At 33.8% G+C, this 27296-nt stretch overlaps 1 protein-coding gene across 4 annotated transcripts in view; it reads left to right on the top strand.

The window, feature by feature from the left end:
• Positions 1-27296, top strand: part of LRCH2 (leucine rich repeats and calponin homology domain containing 2) — a 123481-nt gene that overhangs the window by 57061 nt on the left and 39124 nt on the right. For 3 of the 4 annotated variants that reach the window (NM_001243963.2, NM_020871.4, XM_017029696.3), the window contains exons 6-14: positions 6604-6737; positions 10694-10781; positions 11084-11195; positions 11381-11478; positions 11573-11631; positions 13253-13360; positions 20369-20434; positions 26966-27014; positions 27093-27209. In NM_001243963.2, coding sequence (NP_001230892.1) covers positions 6604-6737; positions 10694-10781; positions 11084-11195; positions 11381-11478; positions 11573-11631; positions 13253-13360; positions 20369-20434; positions 26966-27014; positions 27093-27209 — 831 coding nt within the window. The remainder of the gene's footprint in view (positions 1-6603; positions 6738-10693; positions 10782-11083; positions 11196-11380; positions 11479-11572; positions 11632-13252; positions 13361-20368; positions 20435-26965; positions 27015-27092; positions 27210-27296) is intronic. The other variant, XM_006724724.4, reaches the window with a different exon arrangement.

Raw genomic sequence — 27296 nt, 5'->3', positions numbered from 1 at the left:
GTGGCTCACACTTGTAATTGCAGCACTTTGGGAGGCTGAGGCAGATGGATCGCCTGAGCTCAGGAGTTTGAGACCACCCTGGGCAATATGGTGAAACCCCGTCTCTACTAAAGTACAAAAAATTAGCTGGGTGTGGTGGCACGCGCCTGTAGTCTCAGCTACTGGGGAGGCTGAGGCACGAGAATCGCTTGATCCTTGGAGGAGGAGGTTGCAGTGAGCCAAGATCGTGCCACTGCACTCCAGCTTGGGCTACAGAGTGAGACTCTGTCTCAAAAAAAAAAAAAGAAAAAAAAAGAAAAAAGAAAATGAACAGCCAGCCAAGAATCATTAGACATTGCAAGAGTAATCTCTAACATGAAAGACAGAGACCAAAACACCAAAGGCTTTCATTGAAACGAAAGGGAGCACATTTATTTTTTGTGTGTGTGTGGATATCCAGAAATATTTGTAAACCATATATCTGATGAGGGGTTAATAGCCAAAATACAAAAAGGATTCATATAACTCAATAGCAAAAAAAAAAAAAAATTGAAAAATAGGCAAAGGACTTGAATAGACATTTTTTCAAACAAGACATACAAATGGCCAACAGCTATATGAAAAGATATTCAGCATTCCTAATCATCAGGGAAATGTAAATCACAACCACAATGAGATATCACTTCACACTTGTTAGGATGCCTGTTATCAAAAAGAAAAGATAACCAGTGCTGGCAAGGATATGGAGAAAAGGGAACCATTGTACACTATTGATGGGAATGTAAAATGGTACAGCCATTATGGAAAACAGTATAGTGCTTCCTCAAAAAATTAAAAGTAGAGCTACCATATAATATTACAGTCCTACCTCTGGGTATACATCTGTAAGAGATAGAAAAATAAACCAAACTATTTTTTCTATTTTAATTCTCAATACAGAATACTTCACTTCTGGTCACCAAAATGCGTCAGATTTCTTCCCACCACCAAGCAGTTCTCCAGCAGACACTGACTGGGTATCCTATAATTCAATTCAATTCTGACACTACCTGGAGTTAACATCAGATCCTACAGGTTAAGAGCTCAGTCCCACAGACTGCTCACCTATACTTCTGACTGACCAACTATAAGTTAAGGTTCCCATGACCCCCTCCTCAGGTTCAGTTAATTTACTAGAGTGGTTCACAGAACTTAGTGAAACACTTTACTTACTATTGCTAATTTATTACAAAGGATACAAATGAATAGCCAGATGGAAGAGAAGGATAGGACAAGGCATATGAGAAGGGGTGCTAACTGAAGGGGTGGAGAGGGGATGTTCCCTTTCCTCCCCATCATAAGGGTCACGGCTGATACCCCTATAACAAAAAACAAGTAAACAAGATAAAAGGATAACAACTTTATTTGATCATAGTTTTACGTGACACTGGAGCCTTCAGAATAAGGACCCAAGGATATAGAGAAAGTTAGCTGACTTTATGCTTCGATTCAATTCAGACTGGGACAGCAGTGTAGAAATGTGATTGGACAAAAAAAGCATGAGCTAATGGTAATAGATGGAGTGGGAAAACCTAGCAAGGCCTTTTCTTGGTGTCTCTGTTGTAGCGTTTGTTCCTTCTGGGTGTAGGGTAATACTTCTCTGGAATGAGGGTTTTAATTTGTTTATGGCCAGTGGTTACACAGAAAGGTAGGGGAAGGTTAGATTAGGCTTTATGGCTGGCTTTGGAAAAAAGGGGTTCTAGTGCCTATGACTGGCCTTGGGGACGATAAATTCTTGTTTCCATGACTTGCCTCTAGTGAGAATGAGGAGGTGAGAGACAGGGGAGGGGCGTCTGGAGAAGGTCAGAGAAAAACTTTGCTTCTGAGGCTTTCATTTTGGGGTATCATTTTCTGAACCTCAATGAAGCTTTTGTGCCCTCTGTGGGCACGCCACCTTCCAGGCACCTCCACGTGTTTAGCAATTTGTAAGCTTTCCGAACCCTGTCCTTTTGGTTTTTATGGAGGCTTCGTTGTGGAGGCACAATTGGTTACATCATTGGCCATTGGTGATCACCTCAACTTTCAGCCCTTCTCTGGTTCCTGGAGGTGAGGGAGGTAGGATTGAAAGTTTCAACCGCCTAATCCCATGGTTGGTTTTCCTGGCAATCAGTCCCTTATCCTGTGGCTATCCAGGAGCTCCCAGCCACCAGTCATTCATTAGCATGCAAAGGGATACTTACCACTTAAGAGATCGTGTAAGAGTTTTAGGAGCTGTGTATAGGAAATGGGAGCAAAACCAAGTATACATTCCTTACAAATTACAATATCCGAAGGAAATGAAATCACCATCTTAAAGAAATAATCTGCACTCCCATGTTCATTGCAACATTATTCACTACAGTCAAGATATGGAAACAACCTGTATGTCCATCAACAGATGAATGGATAAAGAAAATATAGTGTGTGTGTGTGTGTGGGGGGGGGGGTGTGTTTGTGTGTAATGAAATATTATTCAGCCTTAGAAAAAGAAGGAAATCCTGTCATTTGCAACAACATGGATGAAACTTAAGGACATTATACTAATTGAAATAAGCCTGACACAGAAAGATAAATGCTGTGTGATCTCACGTATATGTGGAACCTTAAAAAAAAAAAGTTGAACTCCTGGTGACAGAGAGTAGAATGGTGGTTACCAGGGGCTGGGGGGTGTGGATAAAGGGGAGATTTTAAACGGTACCATCCTTCAGTTATAAGATGAATAAGTACTGAGGACCTAATGTATATCATGCTGATAATAGTTAATAATATTGTATTTACTTGAAATTTGTTAAGAGAGTTGAACTGAAGTGTTCTCACTACACACACAAACAAGGTAACTACATGAGGTGATGGGCATGTTAATTAGCTTGACTGTGGTAATCATTTCACAATGTATAATACAGTTGATCCTTGAACAACATGAGGGTTAGGGGCATCGAACCCTGCATACTGTAAAAAATCCATGTATAACTTTGGAATCACAAAAAACTTAGCTGCTAATAGCCTACTGTTGACTGGAAGCCTTATCAATAACAAACAGTTGACTAACACATATTTTATATGTTATATGTTATTTACTGTATTCTTACAATCAAGTAAGCTACAGAAAAGAAAATGTTATTAAGAAAATCATAAGGAAGAGAAAATATATTTACCATTCACTAAGTGGAAGTTGATCATCATAAAGATCTTCATCCCCATGGTCTTCACATTGAACAGGGCTGAAGAGGAGGAAGAGGAGGGGTTGGTCTAGCTGTCTCAGGAGTGGCAGAGGTGGAAGAAAATCCATGTATAATGGACCTGCACAGTTCAAACTTGTGTTGTTCAAGGGTCAACTGTATATCAAAGCATCACGTTGTACACCTTAAATTTGGGAGTTCAGTCAGGGTGGTGGGAAAAATTATAGAAGAAAAGTTATGAAGATAGTTATAGGAAATAGACACAAACCTTCTTGGAAGGCTGGGGGGGTTGCATAGCTTCAGTAAAAAGTTCAGCTGAAGTCAGCCTAATCCTCTTACCTTGAGTTAATAGTTTAAAGTAGGTACAAAGGAATGTAAGGGAGTTTATCTAAATAGCTTGTTTACTCATGTGGCCCTAAGCCCAACCTTTTATCATCTGTGAGTGCATGATTGCTCTCTACTCGAGGGGTTGGCAGTGTTAATTACCTTCTAGCGGTGTTTACTCGAGACCTTTGTAATTTAATCAGTACTAAATAAATGCGAACTTCCCCGGCTTATCGAGGCAGATGCTGCAGACTCAGGCAGCAGAGCCCCTTAGCCAGACTGACAGGCAAAGTATCTGTGTCAGTGTACGTCTTTCATCCGTCATTGGGTCAGGGTCAGCGGGATGGACATGGCACTTAAATATAAAAAAATTTTATTTGTAACTCATACTTTAATAAAGCTCGAAGAAAAAATAAAGAGGAAAAATGGAGCATATTCATAGGAGTGCTAATCAGCATGGCTTTCTAGCAGCAGTTGTGGAAACTGGCAGATGTTGGAATGATACCTTCGAGGACTAAGGGAGTATTTCTAACATTCTACATTCAAACTGTCATCAAATGTGAGGTAGAAAAAGGTTTCAAACATGCAAGATCTTAGAAATTTTTACTCCCATGTACCCTTTCTTAGGATGCTAGCAGAGGGTGTACTATACCAAAGTGAGGGAGTAAACTAAAAAAAGGGGAATTCTTCTTGTCTGAGATTGACAGATATGCATAGGCCTAGTAAGCAGCCAGTCAGTAGTTTGGAGTACAGGAGTTGTCTCCAAAAAAAAAAAAAAAAAAATAGAAAGTAAGAGATGATTTGATACGTTTGTCCACATGGAGAGATGTTTTATACTTCTGTCAGAGTCAAGAATGAATTTATAATAGGCATATAGAAAATTTTTCAAAAGAAAAAATGGGGCCATTAATTACTTTAGGAAAAACAAAAACTTACAGGAGAAAGGAAATGTAATCATATTACTCTGTAGAGTTTATCTGTGAATATTTTCTTGGTCATAATAATATAAACACTAGATTTTGATTTAGTGAAAAACTGTGACATAGTTATAATAGCAGAGATTTATATAGTATTTGCTGTGTTCTAGACACTGTTGAAAATGCTTTACATATATTAACTCATTTAATTCTTATGTTAACCCTGTAAAACAAGTACTGTCATTATCCTCATTTTACATGTAAGAAAACAGAGGCATAGAAGTTAAATGACTTGTTCAAGGTCACATTGCTAGCATGGGTTAGAGCCAGGATTCAACCTAAGGCAGTGTGACTGCAGAGTCCATGCTCTTTAACCACTATGTTATACTTCTGAAGAGAGAAGTATGTTTATGTGAATTGATAGGAAGCGGGGAGGCTGGGATGGTGGTGGTGGTGTGGGTAATGTAAGAAATCCAAGTCCTCATCTTCCTTAGTGATACTCCAATAAATCTACCATTGGAAAATTTAAAACAAATAGCAGTAGAAGCATGTTATTAATAAATATGAGGGCAAATAGAAATTAAACTAAAAGAGTTTAAAGTGGGAATTTGATCTTAGAGATTGAAATAATTAGAATGGGCTGGGCACGGTGGTTCATGCCTGTAATCCCAGCACTTTGTGAGGCCGAGGTGGGAGGATCACTTGAACCCAGGAGTTCGAGAACAGCCTGGGCAACATGGTGGGACCCTGTCTCTGCAAAATATAAGAAAGATTAGCCGGGCATGGTGGTGTGTGCCTGTAATTTCATCCCAGCTAATCTGGGAGGATCACTTGAGCCCAGGATGTCGAGGGTGCAGTGAGCCATGTTTGTGCCACTGCACTCCAGCCTGGGCGACAGAATGAGACGCTGTTTTCCAAAAACAAGCAAAAAAAAAACAAAAAAACAAAAAAAAGGAGAAGTAGAATTGAGGATTATGTCTTGTCAGCTTTGTAATTATTTTTAAATTTAAAAACTGTGTACATGAAGTACTATGATAAAAAGTTAAAATTTACAAGAGAGTGATTTACCAGCACTTAATTTGGTAATTAAGATAAATTTTTGTTTAGTTTGGACGTATAATAGAATACTACCTCACATTTTAATTTTAGCACATTTTAGTTGATAGTATTTAATATTAATAATTTATAATTAATAGAAAAATCAATGATATTTACAACATTTAATTGGCAATATATTTATATTCTAATAGCTCAAAAGTTTTAATTTTCCTTTTAAATGAAATTTTTCAGTGGTCAAGTCAGACCTAGTATCTGTTAGAATTATCTAAGAAACATTCTTCCTTTGGACCTGGAATGATAATTGCTTTTTAATGTTGTTGTCTTACTGTTTTCTTTGCTGATTTTTTTGCATGTGAGGTAAGCTTATGTGAGCCCATAAAATGTTACATTTTTTATTAGAATTTTGAGAAATATTTATTTGATGTCACTTAGTGACTGTAATTAACCTTGATAAAGCTGACTTACAGTTTTCTTACCTCTCATTTTCTATTGTTTTTATACAGAGTATCTTTGCTCACATAGTATTTTATTCCTCATTATTCATTTTCTCTATGGCCAACGAAAGTAATTTCTTAGGATATTATTCTAGTTGAATTGACCAGTGTTTTCTTTTATTATTTCAGTCTCACCAGCCTAATATCGTACCTTTCAAAAAATTCATTTTTCCTATATTTATATTTTTTATGTTAGCCTTCTCCAGGTTTTATGCCAAACATCTTAGTGGTTCTGATGAGATTACTTTAAAGAATCACATAGATTATTTGTTCTTTTCTTACCATTCCAATGAATATATATTTTTCATTTTTTCAAATAAAGGCCACTTTTATGAGTTGTAAACTTCATATTGTTTAATAGTTTGTACATTCTGCTTTTGACAAGAAAACTCTAGTGAAATATAGAAAAATTAACTTTTTTCAATAAGAACAGAGATGGCAATAGAATTTTAGTTGGTATCAGTGTTGTCAGATTTTTCCACCTGGTGTCAGAAGTACAAATTATTTAAATATGCAAAGTATCAATCAAGATTGTGATGTCTCAATGTAATTTGAGACTATTGAATGGTTTAAAATGATAGATGTCATTTATATTTGGAACTATATAATTAAATCTTTATTTTTTATTGACAGATATGTTTAAAGGGTAAGGTGCACATATTTAAGTACTTAAATATTCAAGCATGTTGCAGAATGGATAAGAAACCAGATTCCCTGGATCTTCCATCATTGAGTAAACGAATGCCCTCACAGCCTCTCACAGACAGGTAATGTAACATTCTTACAGTTTCATTTGATGATTGCTGTCTTCTCTTTTTATGAAATATACTTATTAATCTTGAGTGTTCCGAATATATTTAGGCTGATTGGTCCAGCACTAAAATAAATAATTGGCTGAAGCTACATATCACCATCATAGAATGAAGTTCTAGGATACTAGAATATTTTTGACATTTTCTCAATCATTAAAGTTTTAGTAGTAAAAATGTAAATGTTTGACATTATATTACGGAAACACTAATTTCTCAGCATGTGACAACTGTTAATTTATTTTGTGATCACTGTATTGTACATTTGTAACAACAAGTAGAATTTGACTTTGAACTGAGGTTGGTGGAAGAGCAAGACATTTGGGGAGTACCTTTTCCCTTTCATCATAGTCTTTATGTCTGGATCAAAGATGATATATCATAATGACATATAATGATATATCATCTTTGATGAACATCTTTGATGTTCTTTATGATTTCAGTGTTTTGATCCTCATGAGATTTTGAGATAGTAGATTGAACATTCTGTTTTTAATTCATCCTTTCAAGATGTAGATTGGTCTGAAAGATTTTATGAAAGTATAAATCCATGTAATAGTTTAGAAAATAACCTAGAATGGGGTGAGACTACAGAAAGCTAGACCATGCCCTTGCCTAAAATATTTAAAGATTTGTCATTGCATATATATAAATTTTATATTGCTTTGAATGGCAATATAGTAAGTACTATTGTTAACAGCACAAGTTTGTGAATTCCCAAATAGGACTTTTTCTTGAATATTTTTATTTTGTAAGTAGAATTAAGTATCTAAACATTAGATTCAGTTTTTAAAGATTATTTTGTTTAATATTATGAACAGTATTAGACCAAACAAGGCTCCAAAAATTGGAATTAAGGCATTCTAATCTCTATTAATCTGCTTTATATTTATTTTAACATGAATTTACTTTTAGTAATGGCATTTACTGTTTTAGTCATTTATTTTACAAATATCAGTTGAATGCCTACTGGTAGATTCAGTTATGTTTTGTTGAATGTCATATATGTTGGTCTTGGCCTCTTGGTGCTCACAATGTAGTGGAGCAGGAGTCAGTGAATAAACAAAGCAAGGAAATACACACACATATAAAATTTCAAATTGTATTCTGTGCTATGAAGGAATGTATTTCAAGAGTGTCGTCAGGGAATGAATAAAAGCCAGCTCTGTGAAGAGCAAAGTAAGAGCATCTTAGGCAGAAAGAATGACATTGCCATGGCCTTAAGTTAGGAAGGAACTTTGTGTGTTCAAACAACTGAAAGGAGACCAGCGTGGTTGGAGCAGAGTAGCTGAAGGGAAACGTGGTACATGTTGATTTTAGAGAGGTAGTCAGAGTTCAAGTCATGTGGGTGCTTTGTAGGATGTGGTAAGAAGTTTGAATTTTACTTAAAGTACAGTGGGAAGTCATTGGACAGTTTTAAGTGGGGGAATAACATGATTTGACTCATTTTTTTAAAAAAAACTATTTTGGCTTATAGGAGAATAGATTGGAAGTAAGCAAAAATAGAAGCACAGGGACCAGTTGGATTGTTGTAGTATTGCCAAGAGATCAGGGGGTCTAGAATAAAGTAATTGCAATACAGATGAAAAGAAATGGGCAGAATTAAGATATATTTTGGAGATATTCTCTAGCAGGACCATCCAGTAAAAATATAATGTGAGCCACATATATAATTTTTAATTTTTTGTTACCCATTTTGAAAAAAGTAAAAAGAAATACATGTTATTTGAGTATATCCAAAATATTATCATTTCAACATGTAATTAATGTGAAAACTTGGTGAGATATTTTATATGCTTATTTAATATTAAATCTTTGAAATCTGGTATGTACTTTATGTGTATAGTGTGTCTCGATTTGGAATGGCTGTATATGGCTACTGGCTGCTTACCGTATTGGACAGTGCAGGTCTATAGAGTGGGTTGTCAGTTGTATTAATTTCTCACTCACAGCCTGTATTGAACTACTTAGAAAATTCTTGTATGTGCTTTCCACTTTCATACTCAGGCTCTTGGCTGTATGGTTCTTACTACCTAGAATGCCCTTCCATGCCTTGTCTGTTTTGTAAACTCTTTATTATACATAGATAGGCACTACAGTACTTACATATAATAGCTTTTGGAGTCAGACATAATATGGCTTTGAAGCCCTTTTATGACTCTTAATAACTGTATGTCCTTGTGTATTAATGTCTCTGGTCCTCAGTTTTCTCATATGTAAAAAAGAAAATAATTACACAGGTGCTGTCAGGATTAAATGAAGCAATGTATGTAGAGCACTTAGTGCAATGCCTTACCCATAACATTTCCTCAACAAATAGCTTATTATCATCATTGTCATTTACTACAAATACATGGAGTATTTTGTGCAGTGCAGTCAGATGAATTTTGGCTCTAATCATGGTTTAACTACTTAATTTCTCTGTGGCCTTGTGTAAGTTATTTAACTTCTCTGAGCCTGTTTCCATACCTAAAATGTTAACCATACCCACTTCTACAGTTGTGAGAATTAAATGTGTGCCTAGCAATTAGTTCAATAAATGATAAACAGCAAATGTTATAATTTTTCCCCTTGGGACGTTAACTTTTGTAAGCTTTATTTTTTTTTGTAAAAAGATAATAATTATAACTTCAAGACTGTAAGAATTATGTCTAAAATATGAGGTGCATCTAACACAGTACATAACACAGTATAGACACTCAATGAATGCTAACAGTTATTGCCTCTTCATCCACAAGACTAAGCTCAAATGCCACATTCTTGAGTGATGCCTTTCCTAACTTTACCGAGGAGAATTAGTTGACCTTTTTTTTTTTTCTCATAGCACTTTGTATTTACCTTTGTCATAGTCTTCAAAACATTTAAACACATTCATTTTTCCTCTAGGCTGAGAGCTAGCTCTTTGGAGGCAAGTTTTAAAAATGTATTTTCTCTTAAGCATTCAGCATAGTACCTGATACTTGGTAGGTGATTCCCTAAATGTATTCATATACTTCTGAAAAGTACAAAAAAAAGTTTTTTTTTGTTGTTGTTATTGTTTTTTTTTTTTTTTTTTTTTTTTTTTTAGCATGAAACTGGTTTTAGGAGCGGAATTAAAACATAGTGATTACCACCAGGGACTTTGGTGCTAGATAATTGAGGGATCAAATTTGGACTGCTGGCTGCAAGTTGCGTATCCTTGGATAAATTGCTTAATCCATTCCAGTCAAAGTTTTATCATATATAAAATGAGAAAACACCATCAATTTGCTACAGTTTTTCACAATAAATATGTAATGTTTTGTCTTTTAAACATTTAGCACAGTTCCTCATACATAATAAGTGGTCATTGTAGACTGTGTGGTAAAATTGCAAATTAAGTGAAAAATACTTTGCTTCCTGGGTGGCATATTTTGTAAATCAGAAATTTGCAAGGACAAAGTGAATTTGAAAGTATTAAAGTGCATATTCAATACTTTGTAGCTTTCATTTTTACATCCTCTCTTTATTAGATGGGCATTATTTATATAAATAAAACATTTTTAGAGCCAATGAAGAGTAAAGCATATAAATTGAAGTTAAAAGATGTTTCGAAGCTCTGTGATGAAATTTGACAAACCAATGGGAAAAACAGGTCTTCCATCAAGATAATGTTCTAACAAGGCAGCCTGATTTTCTGAATCTCTGAGGAGAAATAATAGGTTATTGTTGACAATTGACACTATAGAGTACACGAAGGGAACAATATTGCATGAGTGGCATGAATAAAATGTTTTGTAGGAAGAGTTCTGATATTTTTCTCCTCATGTCCCTAATTAAGGATCTTAGACATCAAAAGTATATATTCTGTATTATCTAGGGAAATTTTAGGTCAAATGTGCATTATCTATTTAAGAAGAAAATCCTAACTGCTCTTAGGATTTCTATTTCCATAGTATGGAAGATTTTTATCCAAATAAAAATCATGGCCCTGACTCTGGAATTGGAAGTGATAATGGAGAGAAACGATTATCCACAACAGAAGTGAGTATTTTCTATTGCTGATCCATTCTGTTTTACAATTTTATTAGAGCATTGAAATAGAGACCCTTGTGCATACTTGAGTTTATTTTGCTTGAAAATATGATCATTATATTTTATGACTAAAACTGAAAAAAAGGGCATGCTGATTTTTAAAGCTGAGCAGTAAACCTTATGTTAATTTTGGGTTTGAAAACTGGAGATGTAAAGCAGACATTCTGTAATTCATATGTAAAATTGAAGTAACATAATCCATATCGTAAGTTTAAAATGCCTCATTTGTACTTTTTGCTTATTCCTTTTAGCCATCAGATGATGACACAGTCAGCCTTCATTCTCAAGTCTCAGAATCAAATAGAGAGCAGACATCAAGAAATGACAGTCACATAATAGGAAGTAAGACTGATTCTCAGAAAGGTAATTCATATGGTACCTGCTATTTTTGTTTCATGTACATAGCCCACATTAAAAATGGGCTTTGAAAAATTATATTGTCTTTAGCAAACTCTTACATTGAGAAAATACACATTTTTCTAAGGACAGCAGTGTCAAGCATACAGTTTACTATGTACATTTTCTAATAAATATTAATCTGTACCTAGACCAGGAGGTATATGATTTTGTTGACCCCAACACAGAAGATGTAGCAGTTCCTGAACAGGGAAATGCACATATTGGATCATTTGTATCATTCTTTAAGGTAAATAAAACTTTGAACAAATATTAATAACATGTTCTCTTGATCTTATAAAAGTGGACTATACAATTTAAAATGTAACTTTCTTTTATATAAGGGAAAAGAAAAATGTTCTGAAAAATCTCGGAAAAATGAAGAATTAGGAGATGAAAAAAGGTAAGCACATATGAAAATGAAATGTTATTTATAAGCCCTTGAGCCATTCATTAGATATTCCTACTTGAAAGAGTACTTGAAAAAAATATAATTTTTTGTTCACTTACCTCTTATGTTTAGATAGTTAATTTATAAATACTTCACATCTGTCTGTATTCCTCAAGTAAACACAAAATTATAGTAAGCGTTTGAGTGTAGGATGTGCACTATTTTTACCCCTGAAGTGTAATGATGACTTCTATTATTATTATTGAGGAGGACTATACCGTCATATACATTGCTTCATTTGAGCTATTTAACAACCATAACAATAGATGGTATTGACATCACTTTACCAATTAAGACACTGAAACCAGGAGTTTTAAATGGCTGGAACTCAGATGTATTGTCTCTTGTTCTACTATACTTTCCATTTGGTCATGCTGATTATGACTTTTAAGGGTACTTATGTCCATATTTTATTAAAATAATTGTGCTTTGGATCTTTTTTGAACCATTCATCTTATAAAATGATGAAATATGACCTACCACATTTTTTTCAGTTACTCCTTCAGGTTGCTTTATAGATGCAGAAAGGAAAGAAGAAACATTTGGTGAATACCTACCATATACCAGGATTAGTGCTATGTGCTTTCCCATGTTTCTCATTTTATCTTCATTAAAATCCTGTAGGGTAGATACTGACCTCATTTTTTCAGGTGAGGAAGGTGAAGTTCAAAGACTCTTAAGTTTTATGCCTAAAACCACTTAGCCAGTGTCCACTAGTACCTAGAGTGTGAAAGTAGCTCTCTTTGATTTTTAAACTTTTCTCTTTTCTCTACATTATGCTTCCTCCAAATGACTTCACAGTTATTAGTTAATCATCTCTGATGTCCTGTAAGGAGGTACATTGCTTTGTCTTGAACTGTTTAGATTTCATTCTTTTACTTTCTCACCTCATCTAATGAGGTCAGTTGCTTAAACTTGAGAAACACCTGTAGCATGTACGATGTGGTAAAGTCACAAAGATTCATGGTTTGATACTGTTTTTAAAGTGAAATCTAAAGATAAAATGACTAGAGTTTGGATAACTATTTTAAAATTTTTTTGTTCTCTTTTATAAAGATGACATATTAGTATTTTCACGCAAATTTGCCAATCTTATTTGAACCTATTTTGGATTTTCTTTATTTAGACATATACAGATTTTTAAAATCAAAATCAATAAACTGATAAAAACAGGATGGTGCAATTAAATGACAAAATTTTACAATATTTTAAATTTATGTATTAAGACAGGCCATATAGAACTCTGCAGTCCTTTTTATACTGAAGGCTGGAGAATATACATTTTTAGATTACTATTAACCATTACACATTTCAGAAATCTAAAAAATGGTTTATATACTTTGCTATTATTTGTTAGTCATTAATTATATTAATACAGCCAGTATGCTACATTTCATAATGAGTAGAGAACACAGAAGTTTTCCTTATTTCTTATTTTAGCATTTTAAAAGAAGGACCTAGGATTTTAACTTTCATATGGTGTTAAAAACAAAAATGGTTTCTATTTCTGGAAGCTGGCATAAAATGTAGTCTGCCTTACTTTTTGGATAACCATGTTTGTGTCACCTTTCAGACTTGAGAAAGAACAGTTACTGGCAGAGGAAGAGGATGATGATTTGAAGGAAGTAACTGATTTGAGGAAAATAGCTGCTCAGTTATTGCAGCAAGAACAGAAGAACAGGTATTCCTTTCAGTAATGAGATTTGAATTGGCAAATTTTATAATCATTAAATTGATTATTTAAAGATTATCAAAGTATATGAAGTTTTGAGTAAACAATAGTGCCCTCTTAAGATCTATCTCAAGGGACTAACTACAGATTGAGTATTCCTCATTCAAAAATCTGAAATCGGATCCCAAGCATTTCAAATAAGGGATACTCAACCTGTACTAAAAGGCAATAGGAAATACTTAGGACGGGAATATAAAATTACATTTACAACTAACAGAATGTACTCATATATATAGTCACTATATTTAATATTGCCTAGGTATTTCTTTTTTATTCCTGTGTGTGTGCTGAATCATAATAACTGATTTATTTGTTGATATTAATTTTAGCTCACAGTAGCATTATTTACATTGTAAGCATTTTTTTTCTAGGTACATGTCATGAATATAACGTGCTTTTTAAAACTCAGATTCCAAACTTGGCATACGTCTAAACTCCTTAGAATGGAGTTGAATTTTGCAAGAGTTGATTAAATCAGTATGATGATTTGAGGGTCACTGGCTCACTTTGGTCTGTTTCTTGGTCAAAGACCATTTTCCTCATCTTTTGGCTAGGCTTTCTTCAAGTACATGTTGTTGGCAATGAGAAGGGTACTGTGTGAATGAGAATAAAATCAAGACATGTCCACTTCTAATGCAGGAAAAGTTCCATATGCTGCTGAGGGTCAGCTGTTATTGCCATCTTCATGTACTGAGAGGACTACATTTATAGTTTTGAAATGATAAAGATCTGAATGGTTTTTTTTTGCTTTGAGAAAAGAGAATAATTTTGGTGCATTTAACATGGATAAGTAAAATATTTTATTTCATTTATTCAAAATAATAAATGTTTATGGTTAATATGACCATGTTTTGGGAAGTTTCAAATTTAAATATACTGGCATTTGTTTAAATGTACATTGAAAAATACAACTAAAACTTATCAAATGACAAATATATGGTTTCTAGGGGCCACTTTTTAGGGGCAATCTATATAATAGCTAATAAGCTAAATTGCCTAAGTGTCTTTTTTGCACAGTTGCTACATTTATAGATATACAAAATCATACTAGAAAATCACTAACCTTTATTCCTTTCATATCAAATGTATCTTCATCAGCAGTTCACATTTTTCTTCTGCTGTAACTTTCGGTCTGCTTTTTCTGTGATGTTTATCTTTTCAACTTTTCCTGTGATTCTTTTCTAATGGGCCTTTTAAAAATTGGCTACTTATGAGGCTGTGTTTGTTTTTCCCCCTCCAATATAATTTAAGTGTTGATTGCCCTGTGATTTAAAAGGTTTGATGAAGCAAGCCACCACCTGTTCTGTGGAGCTTAAAAAGTTTCTGTCTCCTCTACCTAGCAGGTGAAAGAATTGTATTTATCATTATGGGACGATAATATTGTTTTTTTAAGAACCCACAGCTAGCTGGGTGCCATGGTTTATGCCTGTAATCCCAGTACTTTGGGAGGCCGAGGTGGGTGGATCGCTTGAGCTCAGGAGTGCAAGACCAGCCTGGGCAACATGGCGAAACCCCGTCTCTACCAAAAATACAAAAAATTAGCCGGGCATGGTGGTGTGCACCTGTGGTCCTAGCCACTTGGGAGGCTGAGGTGGGAAGATCGCTTGAGCCTGAGAGGCAGAGGTTGCAGTGAGCCAAGATCATGCCACTGCACTCCAGCCTGGGTGACAGATCTCAAAAAAAAAAAAAAAAAACCGACAGGCCTATCCATTTTTCTCGTGGTATTAGGAATAGCATTTGAGTGCATAATTATAGATTTTTACATTGTCATATACGATATTTCTGTATTTCCATTTTCTTATTAGCATATTAGTTTTTCATCTATCCATGTGACTTAAATTATTCTTTCTAGCCTAGGTACAACATTGACTGAATAGTTAATCTTTCATTGGTTTTATTTTTGTGATAGTTTTGTAATCAGTACAAAATAGCATCTAGCACTGTGCCTTATACATAGTAAATACATAATATTTTTGATTGACTGCTTGAAAATTAAATCAATACATTTAAAACTAGTAGGAGAAATTAGTTAAAAAATTATATGTTCTCCCTAAAAAAAACTTCTGCTGTTCTTCAAGATGTATGCAAAAGTAATTTCTTTTTCTAATTCTCTTCTTTATCATCCTTTTTAGATGTTAGTACATACTAATATAAGAACTTTTTAGATTAAATATTAATATACAGTGACATTGTTGTGATAAGTATGTCTAATTTTTTCAGACATTAAAATATTTATAATATGATCATAAAGTAAAGAGCACTTTTTTTTTTGAGACAGAGTCTTGCTCTGTTGCCCAGTCTAGAGTGCAGTGGTACAGTCTTGGCTCACTGCAGCCTCTGCCTCCTGGGTTCAAGTCATTCTCATCCCTCGGCCTCCCAAGTAGCTGGGATTACCAGTGTGTGCCACCACACCCGGCTATTTTTTTTGTATTTTAGTAGAGACGGGGTTTCGCCATGTTGGCTAGGCTGGTCTGAAACTCCTGGCCTCAGGGGTTCCACCCGCCTCGGCCTTCCAAAGTGCTGGGATTACAGGCGTGAGCCACCACGCCCGGCCAAAGAGCACATTTTACTTTTAAAATTTATAACGTATGGAGAATTTTAGATCCCTAGCCAATTCTGTTAATGCCTGAACTTAAACTGGATCTCAGAATTTTTAAATGCTAAATCTAATATTTTTTCTATTAAATAATCTTTCTTCCTTCTACAATATGTTACTATTGCTTAGATCTTTTAGATTTAGGGACTTAAAATTTTTAGTTTACTGTCACAATACTTGAATTTGAATGAGACCAAAAATCTAAGCGTAATCCTATATGAGAATATATCCTACAGTGGATTTGATATAATTTATACCTTCTCTGGTTGTGGATTTTCCTTTTCATGCTGTATTATTGTGTCTTATATTCCAAATATATTAGTGAAGGATCTGAAATGCTATTTAAAATTGTAGGCCAGGAGTTGTAACATCTCTTTTTAGGTTTTAAAATAATTATTGTAAATTTTGTTTGTTTTTAGTCTTGATTAAAAATAATTTAACTGGATTAAGATTACCCTCGCCTACCAGGAAATATCATCCAGGACTGCTACTTTGACTGTATATTACTTAACTGTTCTTTAACTTGCTACTAGTAGAAGACAAATGCAATGTTAGCTCTCAGCTAAATGAAGCCATGTATCTTCTCCCAAACTAGAGGTAATTAAAAAACAGCTTACATTGAGTTCAGTGATGATTTCCTTATGGCAGTTTTGCCACTTGCTTAGTTCATATATATTTTTAATTTTTTAATTTATTTTTTTTTAATATTTTTTGAGACGGAGTCTCACTCTGTTGCCCAGGCTGGAGTGCAGTGGTGCAATCTCAGCTCACCACAACCTCCACCTCCCGGGTTCAAGCAATTCTCCTGGCTCAGCCTCCCAAGTAGCTGGGACTACAGGCATGCGCTAGCATGCCTGGCTAATTTTTGTATTTTTAGTAGAGACAGGGTTTCACTGTGTTGGCCAGGCTGGTCTTGAACTGCTGACCTCGTGATCTGCCCGCCTCAGCCTCCCAAAGTGCTGGGATTACAGGTGTGAGCCACCACGCCTGGCAGTTCATATTATTTTTTAAAATGTCTTTGATTCTTTAAGAAACTTTATGCCAGTACTTGGTACATGAAACTATCCTAGGGGAGCAGCAAGAGGATATTGTACAGAATTAATACTCAAAAAGGGTGAGAAAAGAGATCAGCAAATAAACCATCAAATTGGTAACTCATAAGGTTTTAAAGTCTGAAGCCTAGTTGTTTAGAAGACTGCCTCCACTTTGTCTGATTAAGATGTGTAGGTTAAGCTACTTTATGTTTACAGTTTATTGTTGAATTTTTTTTTTTTTTTTTTGAGACAGTCTCACTCTGTCGTCCAGGCTGGAGTGCAGTGGCGTGATCTCGGTTCACTGCAAGCTCCGCCTCCTGGGTTCACGCCATTCTCCTGCCTCAGCCTCCTGAGTAGCTGGGACTACAGGCGCCTGCCACCACGCCCGACTAATTGTTTGTATTTTTAGTAGAGACGGGGTTTCACCATGTTAGCCAGGATGGTCTCAATCTCCTGACGTCGTGATCCGCCTGCCTTGGCCTCCCAAAGTGCTGGGATTACAGGCGTGAGCCACCGCGCCGGGCCTGAATTTTTTTTTTTAATTGATAAACAGTCTTTATCATCCCCTGTCAAAATATTGGATTATTATTTCTACTTGCATCTGAGTGTATTGAAGTCACTCTGAATCAATGACTTTGACTATATTTAAATAGCTATTCATCAAGTTCTAATTTTACCTTCACTATTATTTTGGGAAATAAAAACAAGTCTTGAAAAAAAATCATTATCTTAAAAATAATGTTGCATGATGAGTAAGTTCTAGGGATCTGCTGTACAACATTGTGCCTATAATTAACAGTACAGTATTGTATACTTAAAAATTTGTTAAAAGAGTAGATCTCTTGTTAAATGTTCTTACCAAAATAAAATAAAATTGACAAAAGGGAGCATGTTTTTTAGACCAAGAAAAATCAAGGAAGGAACTGAGAATAAAATGATACTATTAGAATATTCTTAATATTAACTTGATAATAAAAAAGGAAATTCTGTTGAAAAACAAAAAAGTTGATATGTATTATTAATTATTGAGCCAGTTTTACAAATTTCCATGAGTCTTACTCATTTATGTTAGTGTTGAAAAGGTGGCTACTGCTCTTTTTCTTATACTGATTTTCTTTGGGGGCGTAATAAGTAGATGTTTAGCTGGCTTCTTAAATTTTGTTTAGTTACTATTCTAAAGAAAGGATTAAAATATATGTGTGATTTTGCAGTAAATAGCTTCATTTAACTGGTTCCCATTGCATGTTTGTTCCTGCTAACTTACGCTGTAGTATTTTCTGTTGTGTCTTTCCTTTTAGTAATTATTTTATTTGCTTTTAGGTGTGTCTTGAGAGTTTTTCTTTATTGTGGAAAGATGTGCTTCTAATTACTATGTGATACAGCTAAATAACAAAAAGCAATTATGAAAAGTTATAATTAAAGTATAATTAAGGATCATGGAAAGCAAAACTAGGTTTAGGAAGTTTATAATTTTGTTTTAGAATTATAGAAATTATGGACATTACCTGTTTTATTATGATTTTTCCCTGATCATGTGAACATTTCAATTTGAGGAGCATCATGTTAACCTCTAGCTTGTTATAACTAATTAGGTGGATCTCTCAGTCCTTGAAATCTATGTATTCTTTTGTTTCTGCTTTCTTTACAAATGACTACCCTGTCTCTCCAAAAACATCTTCTCCCATCTTTTGGTTTGGTTGATTTATGTGAAATATGAATACAGACAGAGGCCTTTAAGTTGTAGGAGCATCATTCAGTGATAAACTCTTCCAGAGGACCAGAGCAGCAGGACATGAATCAAGGTATCTAGAGTTTGTGGAAGCCTTCAAGTATTATGGGGCCAGGTTGACATAGCTGAATTGTATAGTCTTTTACTTAAAATAAGTACTAGTAACTGGATTAGGGAAGTATGTTAATAATCTAGATGTTTAATTAGAATAGATGTTTGTTTTGACTTTTGGTATCAGAGTAAATCATAAAATAATGAACATAGCAAAATTTTACATAGGTGAATTCTCAAGTACATAAAATATATTGTATAGGTAAGTGGATCTCAACTTGTTTTTCTGTTTCAATATAACTCATACACAACCGTAATCACAATGCTAATGAATGTGTGGTGAGAAGGAGTTAGAATTTACTATAGTGAAGGCCATTGTAGTTTGAGTCCCCTCCCCTGCAATAATTCTGAAATTTCCCCCAGGGTAGTACTTACTGCGGTCTCTTCTTTAAAAAAAAATCACTCTTTTAAAATATATTTTTCCTAATAGTTTTAGATATTTCATTACCTTAATTTTTCTGTATTTAAGAATTTAAGGCAATTTTAATGCATGCCTATACAAAGAAGAAGTGTCCTTAATTCTGAAATTGTTTGGCCCAAAGCTACACTGATTGGTGTGTGATACTTGTCCTTTGCATCTCATTATCACTTTTTCCTAGTGAGGCCCTACTAGATCCACGCTAGTGAGGAATCCAGCGTAATGGACTTTGGTTTCTTTATGCTAACCATATTTCTGTAATTACCAACTTATATTTAATTCATTATGTATTTTATTAGTCAATATATAGCTTTTATTTAAAATCCATTTCTGTATTCTTTTGGCAGTTGACGTCTGGAGATTTTATTTTGAATAAAAGGCCGAGATTTTACTTATATTAAATTTTAAAAGTGAAAATTATATTTATATATAGTAACATTAAGAACTCTTAAGTATAGTTCCTTATGTTAAGGACAGTAATTCATTACTTTTGACTTTGAGATTAATACTTAGAATTATGTAACATTATGTAGAAATAGTTCTCTCTTATAATGGTTCATCATTTTCTTTCTTTGGTTTTCTTTGAATGGTTTTATTTAGTTATTAAAAGTTTAAGAAACTTGTGTTTTTTTAAAGAATTGGACTGGAGCGCTGATTTTGCATTTAGAATTAAAATTTTTCATTTGGCAAAATAACTATGTATTACATAAACATACCTCATATCATTTGCTGTGCTGGGAAAAATAAATCAGTCACGATGGTACCTCTGTATCTCTTTATCTTCTATCTCAGCCAAAAGTTAGATATGCAAAGGGCAATAATAGCATGGGTAGAAGATATCCAAACTTTGAGAAAGGGTTTATAAACGAAGATGCATGGAAAAGTTGCCGAGCTTCATTTTGTTATAAAATAGTACACTTATGGGCATCTGATCTAAATAATATTTAAATATTATTTTCTAGCAAAGATCTTCAAGGACCAGATGCAGTTTATTTTAGAGATTTTTTTTATATCATGTGATGTAATATTCTTAATAGATTTGGGAATTAATGTGTTGATTTACTTCTAGGATTCTTAATCATTCAACTTCTGTGATGAGAAACAAGCCAAAACAAACTGTGGAATGTGAAAAGAGGTATAAAAATATCTTAGTTTTTACATTTAATATTTTATAATGAGTATTGATCCTTTGACAGTGATGTTTTTGTATATAGGCTTTAATTAAATAAGTGATACAGATTTAATATAACTAGATAATTTAAATAGGAAATGTTTTAGAACATGAGTTAAATTTACTTTTGATGTAAGCAAAATAAAAAATGCTGATCTTTTTTGCTCATAGATGCATTTTTGTCTTGATAGAATCATTTATTTGTTCATTCAGTGAACATTTATTATATTGCTATTCCTGCCAGGAATAATGTGTTTCTTTATCATTGATTGTGTTTATTCTCTATGATACTGTTTATGTTTTCATTTCTTTTCAATTGGGTGGTACTAAATTCTTCTATGTGAATACATGATATAAATCCACATATATGAATTCCTGAGAACTAGAAGACCTTGAAAGTTTCTATTTATTCTTTTTGATGGTTTGAATTTAGATTAGACTCAACTCCTGAGTCAATCCTCTGAGAATGTTCAGGCCCAGTCTTTTTCTGCTTGGCTTATTCCAGCAGTCCCAAGACATAGCTCCTTTTTTTCAGGTTTGCCTAGCTTTAAGTCTGTCTTCTGCACAATGGAAGAGTGATAATTCTGAAACAAATCTTACTTGTGACTCCCATTTATTATCTTCTAATGACTCTTTACAACTTTTAGAATAAACCTTAAAATATTTAACTTAACCCATAAGATTGAGGTGGGTTTCTGCTTACCCTGAGAGCTTCATCTTGTACATTCCCCCACTGGCACCATTTGCATTTAGGAACAGAACTTCTTTCTTCATTCTCTTGGGGAAGTTATTTAGCTTACTCTGAGCCACATTTACCCCTTCTATAAAACACAAATAATAACAGTGTCTACCTCATGGTTACTGTAAGGATGAAATGGGTTAATGTAGTAAATTGCTTATGACGGTGATTAGCACACAGAAAGTGTCACATATGTTATTAGTTGTTAAACTAAGTTATTACTATTGTGAACTTTCTTATTTTTCCTTTCTTTTGTATCTCAGCCCTTCCTTTTTCAATTCTAACCTCCTTTTTTGTTCAAAAGGGAAATAGCTTTGTGGGTATTCTTTTTCTGGTATTAAGAAGTATTATATGACCTTAACTTTTTTTTCTTTTTTTAAATTATACTTTAAGTTCTGAGATACATGTGTAGAATCGGCAGGTTTGTTACTAGGTATACATGTGCTCTGATGGTTTGCTGCACGTATCAAAACACATTAAATTATGGGAATATATTTTAAATTCTGTGACTTTTTTCAGCAGTACGTGGGTGAGCACACCCCACCCCTTCCCCACCTTTAGAAAAATCTCACATACTTTCTGTTAACAAAAATGAGATCATACTGAGTATACTATTTAGTAATATGCAGTTTTCACTTAATATTATAGTGATGGTTTTATATACCTACTAAATCTAAATATACATTTTGATGAACTTTATATATCCTGTACACTTGTATTTTCCTTCCTTCCTTCCTCTCTTTCTCTTTCTCTCTCTCTCTCTCTTTTTTTTTTTTTTTTTTTTTTTTGACAGAGTCTTGCTCTGTCGCCCAGGCTGGAGTGCAGTGGCGCGGAGATGAGATTTCACCATGTTGGCCAGGCTGGTCTCGAACTCCTGACTTCAAGTGATTCACCTGCCTCAGCCTCCCAAAATGCTGGGATTACAGGTGTGAGCCACCACACACCTGGCCCACTTGTATTATTTTCTTAACTTAAATGCTTAAAGATATGTTATTGATGGATTAAAACATGAGTGTACATTTAAAGCTTTTGATATGTTGTCTCCAGAAGCTTTTATGTTTGCATTCCCACAAGTAACACATGGATAGCTTTACTTCCATACTTGTTAACACTATACATTATCAATCTATTTAATCTTTGCCATTCTAAAAAGAACAAATTATATCAAAATGTTTTATTTTTCATTTCAGTGATTAAATTAGTGATGATGAGTATTATTTCAAGTTTTTATTGCCTATCTATATTGCTTCTTTTGTAATTTGTTTGTTTGCATCTGTTGTGGTCAGAAGCACTTTCTATTGTTGAAATATATTGAGTATTTTTATGGCCCAGAATATGGCCTATCATGGTAAAAGTTCTTTAGGAACTTGGAAAAAAATGTATTCTGTGGTTATTGGTTAGAGTCTTATATAATGTCAACTATGTTAAGTTGGTTGATAGTATTGTTTAAATCTTCAATACCTTACCTATTTTCTGTTTTCTTGTTCTATCAGTTAGTAAGAGAAGGTTATTGAAATCTCCAACACTAATTGTAGATTTATCTTTCTCCTTGCAGTTCTATAATTTTTCCTTCATACATTCTGAAGCTCTATTATTAGATATATAAATGTTTAGGATTGTATTGTCCTCTTGGTGAATTTGTACTGTCATTCTGAAATGACTTTTCTTTATATTCTTGATAATATTCTCTGCTCTGAAGTCCACTTTTCTGATATTAATATTGTCAGTCCAGCTCTCTTTTGTTTAGTATTAGCATGATGCGTGTTTCTCCATCCTTTTATTTTTAACTGATTTGTGTCTTTGTAGAGAAAGCGCATTTCTTATAGTTAGCATATGGTAGTATCTTCCTGCTTTTTATTGAATCTGACAATCTACGTTCTAATTGCAATGTTAAAAATCATTTATGTTTTTGTAATTAATGATATTTTGAGGTTTGCTGTATGTTTTCTTTCTGTTCTATCCTTTTTATTCATTTTTCCTCCTTCTCTGTTGTCTTTTGAATTATATTTAAAAATTTTTGTTTATTTCCTTTGTGGGCTTATTTGCTGTAACTTTTTGTTATGTTAATGGTTTTTTTAGGGGTTAGAGTATGATATTTAGCTTATCACAGTCTATCTTCAAGGGCTATTATGCCATTTCGTGTGTCATGTGAGAACCTTAGAACAGTATACTTATTTTTTTTCCTTTTTAGCCTTGGTGTGTTGTCATACATTTTACTTTTTATGTATCTGTTATGTGTACCATAACAAGTTGTTATTTATGCTTTAAACAGTTATTTGTTCTTAAGAACATTTAGATAATCAGAATAATGTCTTTTATGTGTTCAATCCCTTAGTTACTATCTCCAGTGCCCTTTATTTTTTGTGTAGATTCATATTTACATGTGCATCACTTTCTTTCTGCCTAAAAGAGAGATTTTAACATAATTTTACTACTGGTCTGCTGATTGAATGCTTTTAGCTTTTCTATGTCTGAAAAAGTCTTTTTTTAAATTTTTTTTTTTTAAACAGGATCTTGCTCTGTCACCGAGGCTGGAGTGCAGTGGCGCCATCACAGCTCACTGCAGCTTTGACCTCCTGCACTCCAGTGATCCTCCCACCTCTCAGCCTCCCAAGTAACTGGGACCACAGGCATGTGTCATCCCACCCAGCCAACTTAAACATTTTTTTTTTTTTTTTTTTGTAGAGACAGGGTCTCACTATGTTGCCCAGGCTGGTTTTGAACTCTCGGTCTCAAGGAATCCTCCTTCCTTGGCCTCCCAACGTGTTGGGATTACAGGCATGAGCTACCATGCCTAGCTCACCTTCGTTTTTGAAAGATATTTTGGCTCATACACAATTCTAGTTTGACATTTTAGTTTTCTTCGAGTACCTTGAAGAGGTTTCTCCACCATCCTCTGGATTGTACTGTTTTCTATGAGAATATTCTTATCTTTGTTTTACTTTGCCTAATGTGTCCTTTTTTCCTCTGGGTGTCTGTAACATTTTTTATCACTCGTTTTAAGTAATTTGATGGTGATATATCTTGGTGTAGTTTTCTTCATGTTACTTTTGTTTGGAGTTCATTGAGCTTCTTGAATTTGTGGGTTTATTTTCATGAAATTTGAAATTTTGGGGCCCTTATTTCTTCAGATATGTTTTCTATCATTTGACCTCTTCTATTATGGAACTCCAATTAGGCCACTTGAAGTTTGCCATGGAACATTGATGTTCTATTCATTCTTTAATATTTTTCTGTCTGTGTTGGGTTTTGGCAAGTCCTTCTGCTTTGTCTTTGTGTTTGCTAGTCATTTCTTGTGAAATGTCTAATCTGCAGTTAATTCCATCCAGTTTGTTTTAATTTCAGATGTTGCACTTTTTATTTCTAGAAGTTTGATTATGTCTGTACTTAACATGTTCAGTCTTTTCCTTTAGCTTCTTGAACATTGCTTGGTTGAATTTTTGATTAAATGACAGACATTGTGTACTTTACATTCTTGAGTGTGGATATTGTATTATTATACATACTTTTGACTTTTGTTCTGGGATATGGTTAAATTACTTGGAAATAATTTGATATTTTGGGACTTGGTTTTATAATTTATTTATGTGGGACCAGTGCAGCATTTAGTCTAGGAATAAATTTGTCCCCTTAATGAGGCAAGACATTTCTCTACTGGATGTCCTGTGAATTATGAGGTTTTCCAGTTTAGCTGGTGGGAACTGGTACTACTCCTGGTCCTCTGAGAATCTGGGAATTATTCCCTCTAAGCTTTGAGGGTGATTTTATCCTTTTGCCTAGGGTATTTTCCTCACATACATGTTCAATGATCAGTACGCTCAGATGAAAATTTGAGGGATGCCTCTGTAGATCTCTTTCCTTTCTCTGTGCATTGCCCTTTTGTTTGTTACTGTGTGCTATGAACTCACTCTGCCCTTTTCTCCCTGGCTCCAGCTCTGTCTCCTGAATTCTGGGCCTGCTAGACTCTGCCTTAGTTTTTTTCTCCTGGGATGTGGACTGGAAACTCTTTCCATGCAGCAACTTGGCTCAGTTATGGGATTTACCTCCTTACTCATCTCTAAAGGATAATGTCATTTTTTGCCTAATATTCAATGTCATGGAAGGCATAATTTTAAATATTTTGCCCATTCTTTTAGTTTTTTCAGTCAGGATATAAATCTGGTCACTGTTAGCCTATCTTGGCCACTAGCAAAGTCTAGTTTTTACATTTTATGTGTTCAAATTTGTTAGTATTTAATTTTGATTGTTTGTCCCATAGGCTCTCTCTATTCCAATATTTAAAAAATTACTGCCTGTATTTTTCTGATACTTTGTGATTTCTTCTTTATATTTAAATCTTTTAATTTTTCATTTTGATATTTGGTATGAGGTAAGGAATCTAGTTTTCTTCCTCCCCCACCTTTTTCTCACTGTGTCTCCTCCCCCTTTTTTATTCTTTCTTTCAGTGTATATTTTACACGTGATCAATCAGGTGTCTCTCTACTACTTGTTATATAAGCCATTACTTTCACAATGATCTTAAATGTCATTTTTTTCAGAAGTTATTATACTCGTGGTCCTGTACTCCTCTTCCATTGAAAAATCTGTAGATTCTGGAGCTAGTAGAAAGGAGGGTTGAAAAGTCCTCTTTATTATATAACTTTTCTCTTCGTGATCATCCATTCTTCCAAATTAACTTTGGAACTCCTTTGTCAAATGTTTAAAACAAACCAAAAAATACTTCTTGAGTTAAAAAAATTATTATTACAGTTCATTTCAGTTATTAATTAAGTTGAAAGAGAAGTTATACCTGTAATACTTATCTATCCAAGAACCTTTTGGTTATTCAAGTCTCTTACTAGACATTTGTAGTTTTTTCATGTAGGTCTTGTAGAAGTATAGTTAAGTTTCTTCCTAGGTATTTTATACTTTTCTTTCCTTCTATGAATAGCATTTTTTTCTAATATATCTTTTAACTCATTATAGTTGATATGTAGGAAAGCTATTAACTTTTGTATGTTTTTCTTTAACTGGTAACCTTACCTCTTATAATAATAGATTTTTTGTCTTTTTCTCTTGGATAATCATGTGTTCTATAAATTTTAAAAATTGGATCTTTATATCCAATTTTTATTTTCTTTTTGTTATTGCACTATACAGAAATTCCACAATAGTGTTAAGTTATAGCAGCTTCAGTGGACATTTTGTTTATATATTTTTTCCACAGGAACTCCTTGTTCAAAATTGCCATCTAACAACAGCATGCATAGTCTGCCTTATCTCAACAACAAAAAATTAGATGAAAATAATTTCCTTCATAGCCCCTGTTTTGTTAGAATGAACAGGTTGCATCTCATAATCAGTAATTCAGTAGGCAAAAATAACTACTCGCTTGAGCTCTTTGGCATTTAGACAAAGGAAATTATTAGTTTTTTTTAGTCTTTGTTAATTATTTTAATATAATAAATATCCTGTCTGTCCTTTGACAATATATCTTTAGATATTTCACTTATTTTAGCTTCTGGGAATTCCTTAGAATAGACCTATGCATAGGGCCTACATAGAATAAACCCATTTTGATATTTCCTGTAGAGCAACAGGTTTTAGAAACTTAAATATATTTCTGTCAACTTTAAGTTTTATGTTGTTAGGCCAAAGTGTAGACATGGGTAAATTCTTTACAATGTTTTTAAAAAGATAACATCTAAGGTTCATAATATATATTTAAGGATTTATTCTAAATATTTTAACGTATTAAGGCATCTTCAATTTTTTAGTGTCTCAGCAGATGAAGTTAATTCACCATTATCACCCCTCACCTGGCAGGTAAGAAGAAATTAAATTACAATTATATCTATCATTTTGTTCTCTTTTATTTAGTTAAAATAAATTGTCTCATTATAGCCCTTAGAAAATCAGAAGGATCAAATAGATGAACAACCGTGGCCAGAATCTCACCCTATAATCTGGCAGAGTGAAGAAAGGAGGCGGAGCAAACAGATTAGAAAAGAATATTTCAAGGTACTCTATATTAAGTTTTTAAATTTACTTTGTAATTATTAGTTTTTATTTTGTCAGTTTTGTTTTGAGTTAATAAGGTAGACTGTA

The sequence above is a fragment of the Homo sapiens genome, chromosome X (genome assembly GCF_000001405.40).
Source record: "Homo sapiens chromosome X, GRCh38.p14 Primary Assembly".
Taxonomy (NCBI): domain Eukaryota; kingdom Metazoa; phylum Chordata; class Mammalia; order Primates; family Hominidae; genus Homo; species Homo sapiens.
This window is presented reverse-complemented; position numbering and strand designations above follow the sequence as displayed.